Below are 24,022 nucleotides of genomic sequence, written 5' to 3'. Positions count from 1 at the left end.
TTTAAAATGAACATTAACAGGCCCTTGAAATTTTTAATTTTGAATATATTTTTCAAAATGAGTCAGAAAAAAAGAGTAATAATGTGATCATATCTCCCTATTGAGTGAGCTAAAAGGGGGAAATGGGGAGCTATTTCTATGTAATGGAATGAGGGTAGATAAGATTTCGTATTTTCCTCCATATAACTAATTTATAATCCACACACGCATGCATATATGATAGAGACTGTGCAATATGTATTTTACATACTTAATACATATTTTACTTATAAATGTTTTATACATTTTAATATATTTATTTAAATATGTTTGTATGTGTGCATATGATACAGAGAAAATAAAAATTGATAACTTCTTATAATCACACCAGAATTCCAGTAATATAAATTATATTTTTAACATATTAAAAATTCAAACACTTAATAAAATCAGAATCCTCTTATTAGACATTTCAATTATGAAGTCAATTTAAAATGTTATCATTGCAAATATTCCTGGCATGTGATGGATAATTTTAGTAATATTCATATATTTAATTAGAGTAAGAATATTTTCTTCAACTGCCTAGCAGTATTACACATAGACTTACACAAACAAATTAAAGTTGCCACCCATTGAGAATGGTCACTGAATGTATCTAAATAAGGTTAGATCTGTATTACCTCACTTACTAATCAACACCCCTATTGGAAATGGAGGACTAATAAAGATTAATCTTTGATTATGTCTGGTGCCTAGAAGAAGACAAATTGTGTTTAGATTTTGAAACAATATATACTTTGGTTATCATGAAAACTTTAAAATATTACTTAAAGAAAACCAAAGTGACAAAACAATTTATTTGACTAGGTCAACAGCTGCACCACTTTGATAAGCCCTGAAAAAGGGAAATTACAACACAGACATCTTACTGTTTTTGCCTTGATATTCCAAATGGAAAAATTCATTTTATGCCAATAGGCACTGTTGAAACCTTACTCAGTTTCTCTGCCAATATGATAATTTGCATAACATTACCCACAATGCCTCACATTGTGATTTTGCTTTGAAACAGATTTAATTGAGCCTTGCTGAGCTGCATTAATGTGTCTGTTTAAATTGAGCAAACCTAATTATGTCACATGAAAGTTATGCCACCTCTGGTGCGACAAAGCTAATGCAATTAAAGTCTGCCAGATGTATTAATTGAGTATTGTAAACATGCATTCTATCTGGTAGAGAACAGTTTATTATACGCCAGGGACTGGACAGTTTGTAACCAACTACAATATAGCTTTCCATGTCAAAATTATCTTTGGTACAAAGATCTATAAAACCCAGAATCAAAGGGCCACCATATGTCTTAAGGGTTAATATCAGTGTGGATTTAAGATGTTATATCTTTAACATTTTGGTTCTATATTTTGAAAACCCAATTGTCTGAAGCATTCATAACATATGAACTTTAGCTCTTCATGGTCTCCTAAAAAGCATTAAAATCAAAAGGGGCCATCACAAATCTTTACTATTCTACTTTTATGCAATCGTTCCTTTTTGTTTTAAAGATGGAATTGGAGACAGTTTTCTTTAAAAAATAGTAGTTCAAAAATAATGAGGCAAAGTATAAACTGGAAAGAAAAAAATTTTACTTAGACCTCTCTATACATAATAAAAAAGAAACAGAAGACAGGTCTAAACATTATTAAACTATATTATAAAATAATATAAAAAGGTCAAGTAATCTTTGAGATGACTGGCAGTTCACAATTTTAAATTCAATTTTATTTGCTATCAAATCAGTCACATTTATTGTGAAACGTTGAACAAACATATCAAAACATTGATCTTGTAGAACTTTGTGAATACAAATTTAATGCAGCCTGACAATAGGAAGAAAGATGACAGCAAATATGTGAGGTTTACTTTTATGTATTTCCTTTTCTTAAACCTTCAATTAAAATATATTTTATATAAATAGAATGATGTTTTCCTTAAATAGTCAGAAGCCTTCTACTCTAACAGAAATTTATATTTTTAAAAATGTCAGGATAAACGTATATTGAAAATATTTATATAGGCCGGGCGCTGTGGCTCACGCCTGTAATCCCAGCACTTTGGGAGGCCGAGGCGGGCGGATCACGAAGTCAGGAGATTGAGACCATCCTGGCTAATACGGTGAAACCCCATCTCCACTAAAAATACAAAAAATTAGCTGGGCGTGGTGGCAGGCGCCTGTAGTCCCAGCTACTCGGGAGGCTGAGGCAGGAGAATGGCATGAACCTGGGAGGCGGAGCTTATAGTGAGCTGAGATCATGCCACTGCACTCCAGCCTGGGCAACAGAGTGAGAGGCTGTCTCAAAAAAAAAAAAAAAAATATATATATATATATATAGCAAACTGGCCATTTTTAAAGTTCATGATTCCAGAAATTAAAGGAACATAAATAAAATAAAGATTAAGGTTTCATTTTGGTATTTGTTTTGGGTTTCAGTGTTTCATTTTCATTAATTTAAATCAATTATGAAGATTAGAAATATAGACTGAAAGAAAATTCTTCTTCTTTTAATTAGACATGTTAAAATTTATTTTATTAATCTAAGGACCAAAACAGTGGGACATGTAATTACTTTATAAGCATAAAATTTTAAGTAGTAATAAAGACATTGGAATAATTTTTTTATAGTCACTTATATCATGTCTCAGAGATACAGGCTTTAAAATATCTTTGTTGATGAATTTAGTAGAACACAAACATACAAAAATAGGAAATCTTTCAAGAGCCATTCACAAAAACTATAATATGCATCATTTATTTAAAGGATAATCATATCTCCAAATAAATATGCCATGAATTCCATAAATATGAAGAGTGTAAACAGAGTATGGTGTTTTAATGTAACTGCTTAGGGTCATAAAATATATGACTAGTAACATTATTAAAATAAAATATTTGTTCACCATACCCAATTGTGTGACCAAGTGTAAAGACTCAATGAGGACTAAGTAGGAATATACCCTTTTTATAATAAACTGAGTACAAACAATTTATAAAATCATTGCTGTAAATTTTGTATTTTTAGAATATAACCAATTGCCTTTCTCTTAATAGAACTTTCCTTTCTTCCATCTGCAAATTGCATTTGCTCCCTCTGCACCTAAATACTATGAACCATTCAAGTCAGAGCCTAGTGGTTACATATTATGTGTAGTTTCCTGGATTAACCCAAACTAACATAGTGCTATAGACTGGACTGAATGCTCTCCTTTGTGTTATCAGAGCACCCTGTGTGTTTTTATTTATTACAGCACTGAACATATATATGTAATATCTATTACATATTTTATAATACCTCTACTCTGCATGTTATGCTAAAACTGAGCACCATGGTGGCAGAAGCCACATTCCTCATCTCTGTATTTCAAGTTTGTATAACAAATTTCTGCAAATATTTTGCATTTACTAATTTGCTGTAAAATACAGGAGTTTACAGAAACTCAGTCCTCCCCTTTCAATGGACAGCTATTCTATAAAACACAAAAAAAATTGCAAAATTCAGTTTTACTGTATTGCAAGCATGTAGTCACTCCTTAGAAATCCTTTATCGTGAAAAATCCCTGTCACAAGAATAGTTCTGTCACCATGTAGACAAACAACAACAACAACAACAAACTCTTTGAAATATTTAAAGAGGTTTATTCTGAGCCAATATGAGTGACCCTGCCCCAGGATATGTCTCAAGAGGTCCTGAAAAAGTGTACCAGAGGCAGTCCAGTTACAGATTAGTTTTATACATTTTAGAGAGATGAGAATTGTAGGTAAAATTATAAATTAATACATGAAAGGTATACATCGGTTTGGCCCGAAGAAGTGAGATATCTTGAAGAGGAAGGGTTTACAGGTCACAGATACATTCAAAGATTTTCTGATTGCCAATTGGTTGAAAGAGTTAAGCTTTCTCTAAAGACTTGAAGTCAGTAGAAAGAAATGCAAGAGTTAAGATAGGGGTTGTTGTGGAGGCCAAGGTTTTTGTTATGAAGATGAAGCCTCCAGGTAAGAGGCTACAGAGAGAATAGATACTAAAAGCCTCCTTTCGAAAGGTATCAGACTCTTAGTATCTCCTAGATCCAGGAAAGGCCTGACTATATTAATGGAGATTCCCTACAGATGGAAATTTCTCCCACAAAATATTGCTTTGCAGAGCCATTCAAAATATATCAAACATATTTTGGGGTAAAATATTTTGATTTCCTTCAGGGTCAGCTATCTGGCATGTGACGCTATACTGGAGTCATGTTTGAATTTAGTATTTTATTGCCAGAGAGTCTTTTCTGTCAGTCTTATAATATCTCTTTTAAAGTTAATGCTGGTCATTTGTGCTTAAACTGCAAAAAGGGAAGGAGTATAGCAAGGTGTATTTGACCCCCCTTCCATCATGGCTGGGCATTCAGTTTTTCAGTTTCTCTTTGGTTCCTTTGGTCCAGAGATCCAGTCAGTTGGGAGGCTTAGGATTTTATTTTTGGCTTACAAACTCATCTCTACAAACCCCATCTCTGCATCCCATCTCATACAACTTCCCAAGTGTGGGTCGAGAAATCTTTATAAATGTTAACATTCTTAGCTCCAGGTGCACTAATCCCCTATATCAAGTCTCTAATTCGCAGCTAAAATAAAATCTGGATCTTCTTATTTGACTTTCTCTTCCAACTTGAGTTTTATCACCAATGGAGGATGACAGCCTGCCCTTTCACTTAACAAGGTTGTTTTAGAGATAGTGTAGAGTGTTCAATCAGTATTAAGAAAAGGCTGTCAGATTATAGAGGTATCTTTCCTGCTCTTTAACTAATGACTCCTCCTTTCTGTGCTAAGGTGATCCCTTTCTCTACCAAGGGGACTATTCTTCTTAAGAATCATTATCAGTTACTTCTTTATGTCTCCAGGGGAACAAGTGCCAATCTCAATCAAATGTCCTGTTTTAGTCATCCTCTGACAGAAGAGAAAGTAGGAGAGCAGAGGATATGTTGAAATTTCTTTCATCAGACTTGCTTATCTCTCTTTTAAAAGAAGGACCTCAGATGAGTTAAATTTAGTAGAGTTTAATTGAACAAAGAACAATTTATGAATTAGGCAGCTTCCTGAGCCAGAGCAGGCTCAGAGTCCGGTGCAATCATGTGGGAGAAGATTTATGGACATAAAAAAGAAAAGTGATTTATGGAAAATGGAAGTGAGGTACAGAAACAGCCAGACTGGTTACAGTTTGGCCTTATTTGAACACGGTTTGAAAAGTATGTCACCCTCAATTGGCTGAAATGTTGTGATTAACACAAGAATAGGTTATACTCTCTTTATGCTTCCAATTAGGTGGCAGTTTACTATATACAGAGAAACCTTTAGGCTGAACTTAAAATATGTAAGGATGCAGCTTTAGGCTAAACTTAATTTTACAATTACCCTTTTGGTCATCTTCTCAATTTTAAGAGATAGACCAAAACTTTAGGTATTGATGTCACTCTGTTACCATCATAAATGTACTTATTTGGTGTCAAATTCCACTGGGAAATAACAGGACAATGGTTTTTGTAATGTGGAAAAAAGATGGTTTGATATGGTTTGACTTTGTGTCTCCATCCAAATCTCATCTTGTAGCTCCCATAATTCCCATATGTAGTGGGAGGGACCCAGTGGGAGATGATTGAATCATGGGGGTAGGTCTTTCCCATGCTGCTTTCATGATAGTGAATGGGTCTCATGAGATATGATTATTTTAAAAATGGGAGTTTTTCTTCACAAGCTCTCTTTTTGCCTGCTGCCATCCATGTAAGACGTGATTGCTCCTCCTTGCCTTCCTCCATGATTGTGAGGGTTCTCCACCATGTGGAACTGTAAGTCCATTAAACCTCTTTCTTTTGTAAATTGCCCAGTCTTGGATATGTCTTTATCAGCAGCATGAAAATGGACTAATACAGACTTCAAGTTATTTTTTGTAAGAGTTAGAGTAGACGGGTTCTTCCTGTGCTAGAATCAACTGTTTTTTGGAGAGAAAAAAGGCTGGTTTGTTTTAGGATCTATCTTTTGCCTTAAAGTTTCAGTTTAATTATGTCACATTTAGCATGGATGACTTGACTTTGGTTTGGTCTTGTCTGTTTGGGCCTAGCACATGAGCTCAGTTCAAAACAATGGCGTCCCATAATTTTATTAAAAAATTCCCACCTTCAGGTCAGGTTATCTCTTAGATGACAGTGTAATAAAAACTTAGGGCATAGTGCCACCCTCAGTTACCATTATTTGGGGTTTCTAGTCTCAGTATGTCATTCAGAAGTTACTGTATCCTCGTGGTCACACGTTTATTTGAGTTTTTGTCATTCCAGTCAAAGACATACCATTTGTCATCCTAGAGATGGCCTCATGCAAATATTTAAAACTTTTGCAAGAATATAGCCCACCAGGGAGACTACTATTATGATTTTCTAGAGGATAATACCAAGAGTTTGGAGTATGCTCCTTAGCAAAAGTCCCTGTGAATAAAACCAACTAAAATCAAATGGATCAAAGAATGAGCTAAAGAGTCAACTCATTTTAAACAAGCAGCTTGTTCATTATCTCTTTACAGCTGAATCTCTATAATACCTGATGTATTTCTCTATGTGCAACTAAAAGCATCAGTAACTACACAGCTACTTCAGTTTAGGCAGCAAGTAATCTACAGGAATTCTATTATATAGCACAACTTTAGCAAGAGAACTTAAAATACATTGTGCTACCACAGCCTTTTCAGTAGAATCTTCTATAGAGCCTATTATGAGGGATAAATTTCTAATCACTGCCACAATTATTCCAAACCATAAAGAAAGAGACCTAAAAAATTATGCCCATCCAGAAGAGTGAAGGCCTCCTGGCAATGTTCTTTTTCACCTATGATGTAGGTTAACAGGAGTGGATCAATGTTCTTTTTCTGACTGATTATAAAGCAGCAAAGGTACTATTAAAATTTCTTGCCCTCATTGGCCTTTCCTCTTCCATCTGTCAAGGTGTAAGTTTATCCATGTATAAAATTGGTTGTGAAATCCTCCAAAAATAAAAGTATACCCCATGAGTGCACACAAGAGACCCCTTATTCAGTTCTACATTCATAGAGGCCTAGGCAATGGAAAAATTGAGAGATAAGAGTTTCATTATAGCAGAGAAGTTAAGACTTGTGATCTTAGGGAAAGGCTGTTCACATCTGGGATGTCATCTACTTCTAGGGAGAAATGTTCCTGGCTAGCTTTATCTTAAGGTCTCTGATAGGGATATAATTTCAAGAGTCTGGAAGAGCTCTTCTGAGTTGTGAGATTATAAACCCAAGGTCCAAGGTCCGGGACATTTTGCTGCAGTATAGATGGCAAGGGTGGTCTTTCTCTAATGTCATTCTCAGAAGACCCAATCTCCAGGTCCTAGATTGTGAAAAGTTTGATTATCTTCAGCTAGTGGACCACAAAAAGCTTTCTTTCACTGGTTAAAATACACTTTGGCATGATGCATTAAAGCCTTTAGCTATATTAGAGTTTAAGAGTGGAAGATACATGAGTTTCTATTATTTGGTGCATAGACCTTCCAGTGACTATTTCATTTGAGATCAACTTATATCTTCCCCTGGAAGTGGATCTGATTACCATTAATCTACAATACTTTTTACCAAGGCAATACAGTCAATGCAGCTAGCTTTGCCTAATGCTATTGTATTTATAATATCCTACTTAACTGTTTTACAACTTGTCTAGTGAAACAAGTACTTTTATCACTGGAGATTTCTCCAGGAATGTCCCATGAGGAAAACATATTTCCTAATAACCTTGTAGCTACTGTTATAACATCAGCTCTCTTGCATCAGAAAACTTTTATAAAAACAGAAATATGCATTGAAATGACAACTGAATACAATTCCTTTGTAAATATTTAAATGAGCCATCAGGTAGCAAAAATATGCCTAAAGTTTTGACCGTTGGCCCAGTATTACGGGATTGTAAAACCAAACATTGGTCATAAATTATTTTAGCAATTTAAAATAGTCACCACAAATATATATTTACATATATTTTGGACTATTTTACCCCATTCCATGATGAGTCATGAAATTCAGAGCTTTTAGTAATGGAAGATTTAAGGACTCAGGAACGACCAGGTGGCCATAAAGGCTCTCCAAGGATCCATGCTTAACCCTGGGCATACATCCTAAATATCAATTTTGTTTTTTCTAATTTAGGTGCATAGCATTGTTTTTTTAGATGGGTTATCATAGATAATTTGACTTGGAACATTGAATTCATTCAAATTGCCCATCTTAACAATTTTGGTACTGGCTGATTTAACATGAAAATGTGACAAAGTATTTTCTTGGCATTCAATTAATTCTTATACCACTTGGATTACCAGTTTTATAAACCAGTCTATCCTTTTATTGGTGTTCTGGGAATCCTTACCAAGTCTAAATGATATGATCCTAAAGTTATCAAAAACTTTACACAAGAGTGCTTTCCAGAATCTTTTTCATCCTTTCATAAACCTCCTTAAAGATACAATATTCTAGGATTTTGCTTGCTTGTGAAGTTTTCAGAAATTGCATCAAAATTAAGCAATCAACTGTGGAAATGACTTTAAATGGGCATAGTTAAAGGTACAATTCGTAAGAAAATTTAGTTATTTCTATGGCCTATAATAATTTAACATAATAACCATAATTGTGACTGATAGTGCATATACAAACATATCAAAATTTTAGGAATCCCATATAATTTTTGAACATATATGAATAACATGTTTAATAAAATATAATTCAAAGAAGATTAAACATCACTTATTATTTGGCAATGCATTTCATATAATTTAACATATCAAATAATACTTTTTATCTCTCTTTTGGATGCTTCAGGGGCCCTCTGTAGCATTCCAAAGTTAGAGTTGAAAAAAAGACCTACTTTTTAGGTTGAAATTTGATTTTTGGAAGTCTCTCAAATATGTCAAAGTGAGAGCGGCAGGAGGAAGCCAAATGCCCAAGCAGATAGGGAAGGATCCCTAGTGAAACCCCACCTCCAAGCTGAAGACAGTTTAAAGCCTGAAAGCCAAGCTAAAACTTAAACCCTCAGACTGAATTGAGAACTTCTCTTACTGTTTGGTGTGGTTTCCTCTGATTGATACCCATCCTTCATTTATTTAAAGTATACCTACCCTTTCCTAATTGGTGTTCTATACTGTTGTGCCCACCTTTAAGTGGTATCTTTGCTTTAACCTTTTTTTGAATACTCACAAACCAATCAGCAACTCCCTATTCTGAGTACGTAAAAGGCCCTGGACCCAGCCACGCAGGAGACTTTCTCACCTTTGGGTAGGGGAACCACACCCCACACTCCCTCTTTGCTGAGAGCTTCCATCTTGCTGAATAATTTTTACTCCACTCACTCTCCAGGGTCTGTGCACCTAAGTCTTCCTGGTTGTGAGATAAGAACTCAGACCTAGCTAAGCTAAGGAGCAGAAAGACCACAACAAAAGGTTTAAACACTTAATCAAAGTAGAATCACAGGTCACTATAAAATAATAGTGATTCATTTTGCCAAAGTGTTAAAAGATTTTTAAAAACAAAAATCTTCATGCTTTAATAGGTGACTCAGTTTTCTCAATATTCTAAAATACTGAGACAGCTAAAATGAGACAGAATCTGCCTCTTTTTCTATCTTTACTCTTTTTTTATTGTTTACAATTTACTCAAAAGGTGAACAGAAGTATTTTACTCACACTTGTTAACACTACATGTAATTTTTGTTCAACAGAGAAAAATACATGTTACTTTTGTATTTATATATAATCAATAAAGTCAATTTTAGTAAAACTGTGTAAGTAAATTAATTAAATCTCTATTAATTTTGGCCATACCAGATTATCTTACGATAATACAAAAGGTTTATGCCTTTTGTAATATCTTATAATTTAAAATTTTTCAACTTTTTATGTTTTGGTTTTACTTAAATACTTTTTATTTTTTCTATCTGAAACAACCTTTAGCTTCAAATTAGATAAAAATTTTTAACAAACACACATTTTTCGGCCTTTACAACTTTTCTAATCAAAAGTATATCTTGTTTTTGTTTGCATACTCTCTATAAAGATTTTTTTATATCTAATAGTTTTAATTATACATATTAACTACATTAACTCTTAGTAACCTTAATTAAAAAAAAATCCCTAGGAAGTAATTTTGAATGGTTATATATCAGGATTTGTAGAACAAACCATTTTATAATTTTATAGAAAAATGTTTTATAAAATTTTGTTTATTAACAGATCTAAATATAATTAGCTTTTCTATGCCATATAAAAATAATTTGCCAAGATATTAAACTTCAACTTGTTTTAAATAATTGATGATTTAGTATTTTACAAATGACTCAGATATTTTTATTATTTACCATAACAGATATTTTATTATTTACCATAACATGACTTTAAGATTTTGAATTACTAAAAATAACTTTGAAACTATGACACAAGTACCTTCCCCAATGTCATTTTCAGTAATCCTGGGTCTCAGGTGGCCATGTGGCATCCCAGATACCAGTGAAGGTCAGGGCCTATCTGAGTCCTGAATTTACATATCAGTTGCAGAGCTCAGGACCTCAAAGACAGAGCTGTGAAGACTATGCCTGGAAGATTCAACCCCTCCTAAAATAGCCAGGAGGCAACGCTGAGGCATGGAAGAAGGGGCCATACTTGGCTTGATTCTGCATTGCAGCTGCTTGTCTAGGCACTGAGGACATTGTAACTGCCCAAGTGGTTCATCTTGCCCACTGACTAGACAGAGCCAATTCATCAAGACAGAGTAATTGCAACAGAGAAAGGGTAATTCACACAGAGCTGGCTGTGTGGGAGACCGGAGCTTTATTATTACTCAAATCAGTCTCCTCAAGCATTCAGGGAGCAGAGTTTTTAAGGATAACCTGGTGGATGGGGGGAAGCCAGTGAGTCAGGAATGCTGATTGGTCAGGGATGAAATCATAGGGAGTCAAAGCTGTCTTCTCAAGCTGAGTCAGTTCCTGGGTGGGGGCCAGAAGATCAGAAGAGCCAGCTTATTGATCTGGGTGGTACCAGCTGATCTAACAAGTGCAGGGGCTGCAAAATATCTCAAGCACTAATCTTAGGAGCAGTTTAGGGAGAGTCAGAATCTTCTAGCCTCCAGCTATATGACTCCTAAATCATAATTTCTAATCTTGCGGCTACTGTTAGTCCTATGAAGGCAATCTAGTTTCCAGGCAAGAAGGAGGAGGTCTGCTTTGGGAAACAGCTGTTACTGTCTTTGTTTAAAATATAAACTATAAACTGCCAAGTCTGACCTACAGACCCTGACCAAGCGGCAGATGAAAGACATACATTGACACAGATATTTTGCCTGTCAGCACAGCTAACGGGCTCTGCTGCCAGAGTCCGCAGTGGCCTCAATAAGCTGGCAAAGTTCGCATTTATTTAGTACAGGTTAAATGACAAATGTGTAGAGTAAACACCCTAGAGGGTAATTAACATTGCCCCGAGTAGAGAGCAGTCATGTGCCTGCTGATGATCAAAGGTCGGTCTTAGGACCACATGAGTAAATAAGCTATTTAGATAAACTCCCCTACATTCCCTTGTTATTTGCTTTTTACTATTAGCTCAAGGTAAGAGGATCAGACTGCCTTCAGCCATAGCCCTTTCACAATGCTTTTGTAAAACCTTCCACCCTTCCAAGAAAGTTTGCATCTTTCTACAATTTTTCCCACCACCCTCACCGAATTCCTATAAGAAGCTAAGTTTCTCCTAAAGTTAACTCAGCCTATACCTAGGAATCAACAAGGATAGCCTGGAGATTAGAAGCAAGATGGAGTTGATTAAGTTAGATCGCTTTAACTGTTTCAGTCATAATTTTGCAAAGATGGTTTCAATATGTCTCCATGTCTCACAATGGCCACTAAATATTTTCACATACACATAACAGATAAACATATAGACGTAACAGACATACAGACAGAAGCAGATCTTATAGATTTGTTACAAGATTCTTCATTTGCCAGTTTCCAAAGTTTCTCCCCACTATCAATTTCTTGATTACTTGTTTCATGCCATCAACAATTGTTAGAGAGACAGCTCAAAATTTACATCTACAAAGAAGGGACTCAGGTGAAACAGTGTAGAAAATTTACTCCTCTAAGAAACAGAACTTAGATTTAAACAAAGGCAAAGTTTGTTATGTAAACTTTAAGCCATTGTCTTCCTCATAAAGTTCCTGGTGGTTTAAGTGTATAAACAGAGATGCCCATACAAATACTGATTTCCTTTAAAGTTGTACATTTCTGTTGCAAAAGTATTTTCAAGATAGCCAGTTAAATGCCAGAAGGATGCATTTTAACTTTTTAGGTATTTTAATTTAGCTGAAATTACTGGGTTTAGGGTAGAGTCAATTTTAAAGAACAAGGCAAAGAAAGCATTCTCCATACCTAAAATCAGCATGGATAGATCAGAAAAGGAAGCAAGCCTACTTTACCTGAGGGCGTATCTTCTATAAACACTTCAGGGTAGGATTCTTTCACATTCAGGGCTAGATTGTAACTAAGCCATAGGTTAGCAGATTTAATTTTTCTTATCAATTAGTCATGTAAGCTTTTTATTTTCTTTTTATAAAGAGTCTTTTAAAAAGGAATAAAAGTATTGAAATCTTTTTAGAAGCTTCTGCATATCTATCTGCACTCATTCCTGTATGAGTCTAATTTGAGAGTCCTCATTTTCCACTGCACTTCTTAAAGTGCAGTGTTATTCATTTGGAATGTTTCACTGTAATTTTAAATTATCTTCAGTAAGATTTTGCTATTTCGCTAAGTGTGTACCACTTCCCGAGCCTAACGTTTATATATGTAAATTTAGGCATAGCTGGAAAGCAGATTACTCAGCTCTTTAGAAATTAAGGATCCCATTTTTTGCCTTGAATCTTGGCTTTGGCTCTCAGATCCCCTTGATCAACCTAGGAAATGACCTTTCCCTAGCTAAGCACACAAGAAAAATAAACAAAGCAGGTAGAACACAAAAATCCCTGCAAATTTTCAAAAGCTGAAGTTTACGGCCCCTGCAATATTGCCATTTATTACTAGTTTCTATCTGACCCAGTCAGACATAAGAGGCCTCAAACTGAATCTAATCCGGTTAATTACCAGAACCAATCCAATTCTGGAAACAGTCCAGTCTGTCATGACTTCCAAACCCAGGTTAGATCAGAAATTTGCTCAAACTTGGAGAGCTCAAAACACAAATCTGCAGAGCTTTGGAATCCACTAGAGAACTTACCATGATGCCCAGTTGATGCAAGAGAGAAATAGATGCAATGGGCCTCTGAGAATCTCTCTTGGTGACTTGGCACCTCCAAAGCCAGAGTAGGCTCAGTGAGACTCCAGTGGAGCTGAGGCAGTAGAATAGGGTCTGGAGACAGGGAACATGTGGCCAGTTAATGCTGACTTCCTCGAACTGAATCAAAAGGAAAACCCCAACTCTCCATACCCAAGGAACAAAAATATCAGAAGCTACTGTCTTTGCAACCCCCACCCCTTTCCACTGCCTCTCAGATGAAAAATGGAAAGTATGTCTGATTGGTCCACTCCTACAACCAGTCTTCATGTGCATAGGGTGTAACTTTGTAACTTTACTTCAGGCTCTGATTGGTCACCTCCTGCAACCAATCAGACTGGTCATTGGCCGCTCCTTCATTTACTTAGGGTATAACCAAATAACCAATGGGAAACTTCTAGAAGGTATTTAAACCCCAGAAAATTCTGTAACCAGTGCTCTTGAGCAGTTCACTCAAGCCCACTCCCACTCTGTGGAGTGTACTTTTATTTCAATAAATCTGTGCTTTTGTTGCTTCATCTTTTGTTTCTTTCTTCATGCATTTTGTCCAATTCTTCGTTAAAAACACTGAAAACCTGGACAACTCCTAGTCAAGACCCTCCACCAGTAACAGAGCTGTGTGGTGGAAGATTTATGGACAGAAAAAAGAAAGTGACATACAAAAAATGGAAGGGAGGTACAGAAACTGCCAGATATAGTTTGGTATTTGCTTTATTTGAACATGGTTTGAACAGTTGGCCACCCTTAGTTGGCTGAAACTCGGTGATTGACATGAGAGTAGGTTATAGTCTGTTTATGCATCCAGTTAGGTTGCAGTTTATTATGTACAGGGAAACCTTTAGGCTGAAATTAAAATATGTAAGGAGTCAACTTCAGGCTGAACTGAATGTAACACCCTAGTGAGGCATCACTAAAGATATCTCTATTTCATGTGTGTGTCTCTTTCAGTACCTAACACATGTCATGCCCATAATAAAAATCAAAAGGTTATTTGTTGAATAATAAACAGAAAATGTGGATACTTATTTTTGATAAAGTGATGTGACATTTATAAAATGACATTTAATGAAGTTATCTGATTGGAATTCAAGTTTAATGTTTAAAAGTCAGAAGAATTTCTATATAGGATTGGTAATTAGAAAATGAAATAAGAAAACAGCAAACAATCTTCGGGTGCTTAGGAGTAAATTAAACATAATAACAAATGTATACAAGACCTTTATTGACCAAAACATAAATTATTATTGAAAGACATTAATGAATATTTGACTAAATGGATAAATAATGAGTGATTTCCTGTTTCTGTAGGTAAAACATCAGTATTACAAATATGTTAAAGTCTCTCAAATTTATCTCTAACTTCAGGCAATCTATAAAATAACTATGTTATTCATTGAACTTAAAGAATGAATTACTGTATAAAATTCCCATGAAATTATAAAGACTCAATAATGGTATTTGTTTTCAAAAAATAAAATAAAATCGGCAGTTAAGTGAATGATACTAATTAGTTATTAAGACATATTTAAATGTATGTTAATTATAACTCTTTGTTCTTTGTAAGGTATTAGGCAAATAAAGTGAGAGAACAAAATACTGTGGTAAACATATTAGTCATTTATGTACAGTGTATGTTGGTTCAGATCCATTGGAAATAAATAAAATTTAAAATTAATTGTATAGAGAAAGGTAAATATCAGTATATTTTTTGGAAAAGAAGTTTAATCATTATTGCTTAGTTTATTCTAAAATATAATCTTATTGTTTAAGATGTATAATTGAAAAACCAATATTTTACATATATATTTATATATATATATATTTTGTTGTTGTTGTTGTTGTTTTGTTTTTGTTTTTTGAGACAGAATCTTGTTCTGTTGCCCAGGCTGGAGTGCAGTGGTGCACTCTCAACTCACTGCAACCACCCCCTCCCAGGCTCAAGCAATTCTCGTGTCTTAGCCTCCCAAGTAACTTGGATTACAGGTGCATTCCACCACAGTGGGCTAATTTTTGTATTTTTAGTAGAGATGAGGTTTCAACACGTTGACCAGGCTAGTCTCACCTCCTTACCTCAAGTGATCCACCTGCCACAATCTCCCAAAGTGCTGGGATTACAGGCATGGGCCACTGGCACCCAGCCTGAAAAACATACTTTTAAAAATATATAGGGGCCTCACATGTAAGTCACTTGGTAGTTGCCACTCTATCCTAACAAGTAGGAAGCTAAATAAACAGAAAACAATCCATAATTTTTCTTGCATCTATAAGACAAGTGAGGTTATGGGACAAACTGCTGCTCCCCAAACTGGAGAGAACAATAGGCAAATACAGAGATTCACAACCTATCAGGGCAAAAACCCACTAGCAGAAACTTCTTCTGGAAACCTGCTCAGTTTGTGGGCTGAAAAACCTGAACCATACTTGACAAATTGTTGGAGGTTCTATAAAACAGCCAGGATAGACAAAATGATGATCGTAACTTCTTATCTATAAAAAATTAATTTTAATAGTGAAATGTTGAGTTAAGCAATTTAATCAAAACATTAGATTTTGTAGAACTTTGTAAATATAAATTTAACATAGACTTTGAAAATGGGAAGTAAGAAGATGACAAGAAATATGTGAGTAGGTTTACTTTTATGTATTTTCTTTTCTGTCATTTTGGATTAAACCGTATTTTATATGAACACAAGTGTGTTTTCTTAAATTGCCAGGAGGCTTCAAACTTTTTTTTTTTTTTTTTTTGAGATGGAGTTTCACTCTTGTCACCCAGGCTGGAGTGCAGTGGCGCAATCTCGGCTCACTACAACCTCCATCTCCGGGGTTCAAGCAATTCTCCTGCCTCAGCCTCCCAAGTAGCTGGGATTACAGGCACATGCCACCACTCCTGGCTAATTTTTTTTGTATTTTTAGTAGAGATGGGGTTTCATCATGTTGGCCAGGCTGGTCTCGAACTCCTGACCTCAGGTGATCCACTCGCCTTGGCCTCCCAAAGTGCTGAGATTACAGGCGTGAGCCCCCATGCCTGGCCAAGGCTTCTAACTTTAACAGAAATTTTTATTATAAAAAGTAGAGAGGCCGAATGTGTAAAAATGATAAGCCCTAACTATGCATTACCTACAAAAGTCTCATTTCAACTTTAAGAAAGCACATAGGCTGAAAATGAAGGAATAGAAAAATACATTTCATGCAAATGGAAACCAAAAGATAGCAGGATAGCTATATTTATTTTAGACAAAATAGACTTTAAGTAAAAAAATTTAACAGAAAATAATGATCATCAGGTGGGATAATCTTTTCCTGTTCTTCCTTTTGGAGGACAGATTATAACATGATTATTGGAGATGCAAGAAACATGATCAACATCTATACATAATCACGACTTGAAACATCCTGATTGCTCCTATCTCATTCTTTCTGATGATTTTGATATAATAAAAAGAAGACAATGAAAGTCATTATATAATGATAAAGTGCCCAATTTCTTAAGAGGATTTAACAATTGTAAATATATATACATCCAACATTAGCACACAAAAATAAATTGAAGGAAGAAATAGACAACCATATAATAATAGTAGGGGACTTCAATACACTACTTTCAATAATGGATAAATCATCAAGGCAGAAAATCAATAAGGAAACTTTGGACTTGACTAAATTTTACACCAAAGAGACCTAACAAATATGTAGAGAATATTGCATTCAACAGCAACAGAATATACATTCTTCTCAAATATACATGGAACATTCTCCAAGACAGATAATATATTAGGCCATAAAACAAGTCTTAACACATTTCAATCAAGATTGAAATTATGTCAAGCACTTTTTCTAACCATAATGACATGAAACTGGAAATCAACAATAGGAGGAATACTGGAAAATTTAAAATATGTGGAAATTTAAAAACCTGCTCTTGAACAACCAAAGGGTCAAAGAAGAAATCAAAAGAAAAATTTTAAAAATATTTTGAGACACATGAAATTGAAAACACAAAATACTAAAACTTATGGGGCTATTAATACATAAAACAAGAATACAAAGGATCATTAGCGACTACTATAAAAATTATATACCAACATATCAGATAACTGAGAGGAAATAAATGAATTCCTCAAGACATACAACCTACCAAGACTGAATCATGAAGAAATATAAAATCTGAGCAGACTAATAATGAATAAAGAGATGAATCGGTGAATAATAATCTCTCACCAAATAAAAATGTTCAGGATCTGTTGACTTGCTTCAATGATGTATTCTACAAAGCATTTAAATAATAATTAATATGAATTCTTCTGAAACACTCCAAAAATACAACTAATCTAAAGTCTATATGGAGACGCAAAAGACCCAAAAGCCAGCACAATATTGAAGAAGAACAAAATTGGAGGACTTATGCTATCTAACTTTAAGACTTACTAGACAGCTACAGTAATCAAGACATTGTGGTATTGGTAAAAGAATAAAAAAAAGATCAGGGGAACACAATAGAGCCACAGAAATAGATACACACATATAGCTAACTGGTCTTTGACAATGAACACAGTACAATGGAAAAAAGATAGTCTTTTTCAACAAATGTTGCTGTAAACAACTGGGCATACATACTGTTAGAGATGCTTGTTCCCTGGTGCCATAAAGAAATAGCATTTGAACATAAATTTAATTTCCTCAGCAAGGCCATTTTTACTTTCTGCAGAAAGGTTACACTCACCAGCAGTTTTGCCACGAAAGTACACTGAACAAAGGAGACAGGGTCATTTATAACCTGACGCATCCACCTTACTGCTGTGTCTGGTTTCCATTGGCGGGAACGGGACCTCACATTCTGTATTTGTGCTGATTGGCTAGCAACTTAGAACTTTTTAAAAGAGGCAAAGGCATAGGAGAACAAAGGAAGGAGGAAGTAACTTGTTGAATGCTGAGAAAGGTAAAAACACCTTCAAATAAGGAATAGGAACAGGTTGTGACCTAATGCTTGCTAGAACCGGTATAAGCATGCCAGGGCAAATATTTAGGCTAAATTGTGGGAGCTAAGAACATAAAGTACATTGATTTCTTTATGACAGCTAGCAGATATTTAAGAATGTTAGCGCATGTCTTTGAATAAATTTTGCTTCTAAGAGAAGCTACTGTTTATTCCCAATTAGACTGGGAGGAAAGTCTTTGAAGAGGAACCTCTACTTTCCTTTTTACAATACCAAAAAAAAAAAGATGATACAGACCTTACACCTTTCACAAAAATTAACTCATAATATATCACAAACCTAGATGTAAAGTGCAAGATTATAAAACTCCTACAAGATAACATAAGAAAATCTAGATGGACTTGAATTTGGCAATGATGTTTTAAATAATGACACAAAAGGAACAATCCATGATAGAAAGATGATAAACTGGACTTCATTAAAATTAAAATTTTCTGTTCTATAAAAGACACAGTGAAGAGAATGAGAAGACAAGCCACAAACTGGGAGGAAACACAAACACATTGCAAACACATATATAATAAAGGGCTATTATCAAAAAGAACACTTAAACGCAACATAAGAAAGTAAGCCACCTGATTTTAAAAAAAATAGCCAAGACCTTAACAGACAACTCAGCAAAGAAATCTACAGATGACAAACAGACATAGGAAATATGCTTAGTATTATGGAAATATAAATTAAAACAACAATGAGATATAACTGCACATCCATTAGAGGACAAAAATTGAGAATAGTGACAAAAACAATGCTGGCAAGGATGTGAAGAAAAAACAACTCTCATTTATGGTGGAAATGTAAAATGGTACAGCCATTTTGGAATAAAATTTGACAATTTCTTAACAAACTCTTACCATATAATCCAGAAATTATATTCATTTGTATTTACCCAAAGGAATTTAAAAGTTATAAGCACACAACAATGTATGTACAAAAACGAATATGTTGCACCTAGAGTGAACCCTAATGTAAACATGTAAACTGTGGACTTTGGGTGATAATGATGTTTTAAAGTAGATCCATCACTTGTAATAAACGTGCCACTCTGTTAGGGGATGTTAATAATAGGAGAGGCAATGTTTACATTTAGAATCAGAGGGCATATGTGGAAAATCTCTGTGCCGTGTGCTCATTTTTGCTGTAAGCGTAAAATTGCTCCAATAATTTTTAATTTTCTTTTTTCAAAAAAAGTTAAAAATATGTAAAAAGTATTGTCAACTTGGAGTAGGTTTGATTTTCTTAAAAGATGGAAATATCAAGCCTTTGATAAATTTGCTTGCTAGAAAATGAAAAATACATTGTATCAGAAAGACATCATCAACAAAATTAGCATTTTAGTAATAGTCTTGCAAAGGGTGCCCAATATATATAACTATAAGAAGTAAGCAAAAAATTAAATGTTCAAATCAGTAAGACAGATACACAAATAATTGGTAAAGAAACAAACAACATATTCACAGTAAAATATAAACATTATAGGCCAGGCACAGTGGTTTATGTCTGTAATCTCAGTGCTTTTTGAGGCCAAGGTGGGAATTTTGCTTTAGGCTAAAAGTTGTAGACAAGCCTGGGCAACATAGCAAGAACTCCTCTCTACAAAAAAATAAATAAATAAAAGTAGTTGGGCATTGTGATGCATGTCTGCAGTACCAGCTACTAGGTGGGAGGCTGAGGCAGGAGGAAAGCTTGAGCCCAGTAGTTTGAAGCCATAGTGAGCAGCTATGATTGTGCCACTGCCTTCCAGCCTGGACAACAGAATGAGACTCTGTCGAAAAAAAAGAAAAAAAGAAAAAAGAAGAAAAAAGGAAAAAAGAAAAGAAAAGAAATAAAAGTAAAACATCTTTTTAGTGAACAAGACAATGTAATTTTGTTAGTGACCTGAGAAAATACAGAAGTACAAATGAAAATAACAATGTATGTTTTCTTTACCCATTACCTGCTATTAGAGGTAATATGTCCAACAGTAGCAAATGTTTCCATGCAGCAGGAAAATGATTAGAAACTCTGTTCTTCAAATAGTACTTGGATAAAACACATGATGTTATATTTCATTATAGTTCAGCTGTATGTAATTTAATAAAAAATTTGTCTGCCTTATAATCCAGGATCTTAATTTCTAGTAAAGTATAAAAAATCCTTTGGATCAAGAATCTGAACAACCGTGTTTATTAAGCATAGTTTGAAACTACAAAAGTTAGTAATAACTCAAAATTTCCATTAGTAAAGGAATGGTATACATGTACTATTGAGAATAAAAGAAATAAATTAAATATATTAACATGGTTACGTCTCTAAAAAATAAAGTAGCATTAAAATATAAACCAGAGAGTGTTTCCCTATACCAATGAAAAACCATATTAAACATTAAATATTAACATAAATTAATAGATGTGAGGCAGTGTATTACTTGGGCTTGAAGAATTCAGCACAAACTCATGAATGAGGTGGCTTTTATGAAACACACCAGAGTGGGTGTGTTGAGAAATCTGACTGTATGTGTATATGAATAGGTTTTCAAATAGTACTTTGTTTTCATACATAAGAAAGATAGCATGCATGGGCTCATTTATACAACAGACTGTTAATAAGAAAATTACTAGAAGAATGGACAGTAACTATTAAAAATAATAATTGTGGTAGTGAAAATTTGTGATTATATCTTATTTTTATACTTCTAAATTTTAAATTTTACATACTTTTTGAAATAAATGTATCTAAATCACTTCTAAAAAGTTGGAAACTTCACTTTTTAATACTTAAAAAACAAAGATTAATAACAAAAATATTTGAATGTAACATACTTAGATATTTTGAAAGAAAATTGGAGTGTGGGGTAAATGGAAGTTTCCCTCTTTCAAACATATACCTTTCTATTCTCTTTACAATGAAAATGGACTTTTATGTAACCTGTATAATTAAAAATGCAATCGGCTGGGCGCGGTGGCTCACGCCTGTAATCCCAGCACTTTGGGAGGCCGATGTGGGCGGATCATGAGGTCAGGAGATCAAGACCATGCTGGCTAACACAGTGAAACCCCATCTCTACTAAAAAAAATACAAAAAAAAATTAGCTGGGCGTGGTGACAGGAGCCTGTAGTCCCAGCTACTCGGGAGGCCAAGGCAGGAGAATGGCACGAACCCGGGAGGCAGAGCTTGCAGTGAGCTGAGATTGCACCACTGCACTCCAGCCTGGGCGACAGAGCAAGACTCCTTCTCAAAAAAAGAAAAAGCAATCAAAGTATAATTAAAAAATAACACAATGCATGTCCCAAAAGTACAGCAATAAAATAAATATCAAGTAGTTTCAGAAACGAAGATAGTATTGCATTCCATAATTTTATACCTATTTGCTACTGAGAAGCCCCATTTCTGGTGATGTGAACTTTAAAAATATAAAGAGATCAACCACATGACTAAATACGCCCAATATGCTAAAATTAAATCCAACTGCTCATAAAGCCATATTTTTGTTATTGTTCCAAAAAAAGTGAGATGAGAATTATCTTGCAGTTATTCTCATAAAGAGGACTATGCATTTTGTACCCAACCTAAAAATCTGCATTTAACAAACATCTTAACACTTTTACATATTGAAATTTTAAGATAATTAGTGTTATATACCTGAAAGTTAATGGATAGCATATCTTTTACAAATTCTTATGTGAATACTAAAACAGGTGTAATTGATTCTAATCAAATAACTTCAAAATATAAAATATATGTAAATAAATCAATTATATGGTACTACATATGTTCAATGCTTCTTTTTATAGCTTTTAAGATAAATTGACATACCCTTCATAAACAATGTAATTAATTTATTAATTAAATATAGTATCACATCTACCAAAAATAATCAATTTTGTCTTAGAAATGATGATATACCTGTATAGGCTTTCAGGTGAACAGTGATTACATGTGAAGTCCACTTGCCTATTCAATCTACTCTTAATATGAATGAAAATGATAACACTTACATATAAAATTTACTTGTCTTCCTCTGTACTATGGGAAGATTAGCATCAATTTATGACAAGTAGTAACTTCTTAGAAGTTTGTCGCATTCTGGAATGTAAATTCATAACAATGAACTCTTCATGCTCTATTCCATTACATTTTGTACTTTGAATGGGGCAGATACCCAGGCATGGTTTTGTTCCTTGAGGTTTTGTTCATTGGGAAAATATTGGTATACTGAGTTATGCAGATATTCCAAAGATTGACACATTTCTTATCAAACACAGTAAGATATTTTCTTTTAAATGAAACTCTTGTTGTTCACTTTAGAGAAAATGTCTACCAAATACCCAGCCTCAATAACCACAGTTTGTCTGTGAGTCTTTCTAGTAAAGCAGCGTTGCACGAATAAAGCAGGTAGTCAGCTTGCAGCTCAAGTAATTGTATAGTGCTTTTCTTCAAGACAAACATGATAGAGTGGTATGCTTCAGAGCTGCTTTCTACATATTTCCCATTTTATTACAAAGACTATTACATGCACAAGCAAGAGATGAGTTTTAATAAAATTAGCATTTTAATGCTTTATCAAGGACATTTTAAAGTGAAACCATATGTATTTTTAAATTATGAATGTGTAGCAATGAAGAAGAGAACTACTAGTACAGTTTGGGCCACTGCTTTGATGACTCCTTACAGGACAGCAGTTTTACTCATTATTGCTGTTGTTCCATAAATGGAAATGTCAACTCAGGGAAAAAGGTGAATGACATCTTAGTATAACTATGAGAATAGTTTTGACCTCATGAACATGTTGAAAGGGTATCAGAGACCCAGTGTTCTGCAGACTATACTTTTAGAAGTCACTCCAGTCAAAGATGACAGTCACAACTCAGCTCCAAATACTTGTTGCCTTGAGGTAATGAAGACTGAAAATTGACAAATCTTCAACTTATAGGAAAATTGAGAATATTTTATAACAACACCTTAAAATATTAACTAGTTGAACTTTTTCTTTGTTAAAAACATTGGCATGGCATGTAAAACTCGTTGTTAGGCCTTTCAGTGTTTCTACCTATTTTCAGCTCCATCAATGTTTCATTTACGTCCACATTCCCATCATCAAGCACTCCTCCCTCCCTCCCTCCCCCCCACCCAATCCCTTCCTTCCTTCCTTCCTTCCTTCATAACTCACTCTTGCTATTCAGTCCCACTGGGCTAAACAAGGTATGCAGAATATTTTAACTTTTGATGGAGAATAGTCATTTGTCCTTGAAACTGAGATTTTTACCTCATTAAATAAGGAATATTATTGTACCTTGCATGCACAATGAGACTTAGGACAATATAAGAAAGAGACTAATCCCAACTTATGTGACTTTGTAAAATGAAAGGACTGAATTGGGCTCCTCAAGTCCAAGTAAGTGTTGTTTGTGAATACTATAGCCTTGGTAGAAGCAATCTCAATTTTCATTGAGAAAAGTAAAAATAAAAATAAAAATAAAAATATTATGGCAAGTTGTTAAATACTGGAATTTGAATTTTTTCATTGAAAACAGGCAGACGATAACTGTTGGAGTTGATCTGAGTACACTCCTGAAACAGCCATTAGGAGACCTTTCTAGTCACATAATTTTATGATTCTTAAATTCAACAAAAAGTACCTTTTAATTTTATTTTACTTTTGTAATCAGAATAGCTTATA

At 34.3% G+C, this 24,022-nt stretch overlaps 1 long non-coding RNA gene and 1 other non-coding gene across 3 annotated transcripts in view, besides 1 other annotated feature; one reads left to right on the top strand and one right to left on the bottom strand.

The window, feature by feature from the left end:
* LINC02445 (long intergenic non-protein coding RNA 2445) overlaps positions 1 to 22,403 on the bottom strand; it is an 87,521-nt gene extending 65,118 nt beyond the window's left edge. Inside the window, exons 1-3 of one of the 2 annotated variants that reach the window (XR_007063369.1) lie at positions 22,341 to 22,403; positions 20,300 to 20,384; positions 13,313 to 13,444 (exon numbers count right to left, since the gene is read on the bottom strand). This is a non-coding gene — a long non-coding RNA (long intergenic non-protein coding RNA 2445). Of the gene's footprint in view, positions 1 to 13,312; positions 13,445 to 20,299; positions 20,385 to 22,248 lie in introns of both variants that reach the window. The other variant, XR_945092.2, reaches the window with a different exon arrangement.
* Positions 10,373 to 11,572: an enhancer, noted in NCBI's record as "CDK7 strongly-dependent group 2 enhancer chr12:74163268-74164467 (GRCh37/hg19 assembly coordinates)". NCBI's record gives its function as "activates an origin of replication core promoter dependent on BRD2, BRD4, P300/CBP, MED14 and CDK7 cofactors, with strong dependence on CDK7, by STARR-seq in HCT116 cells {active_cell/tissue: HCT116}" and the evidence as "EXISTENCE:reporter gene assay evidence [ECO:0000049][PMID:35650434]".
* On the top strand, positions 16,647 to 16,781 carry LOC124900319 (U8 small nucleolar RNA). The gene has a single exon (XR_007063622.1). It is a non-coding gene; the product is annotated as a U8 small nucleolar RNA (small nucleolar RNA).
* Positions 22,404 to 24,022: the final 1,619 nt, after the last annotated feature.

This window comes from Homo sapiens, chromosome 12, assembly GCF_000001405.40.
Source record: "Homo sapiens chromosome 12, GRCh38.p14 Primary Assembly".
Classification (NCBI taxonomy): domain Eukaryota; kingdom Metazoa; phylum Chordata; class Mammalia; order Primates; family Hominidae; genus Homo; species Homo sapiens.
Note: the sequence above shows the minus strand (reverse complement) of the source record. Positions and strands in the feature narration are given on the sequence as shown.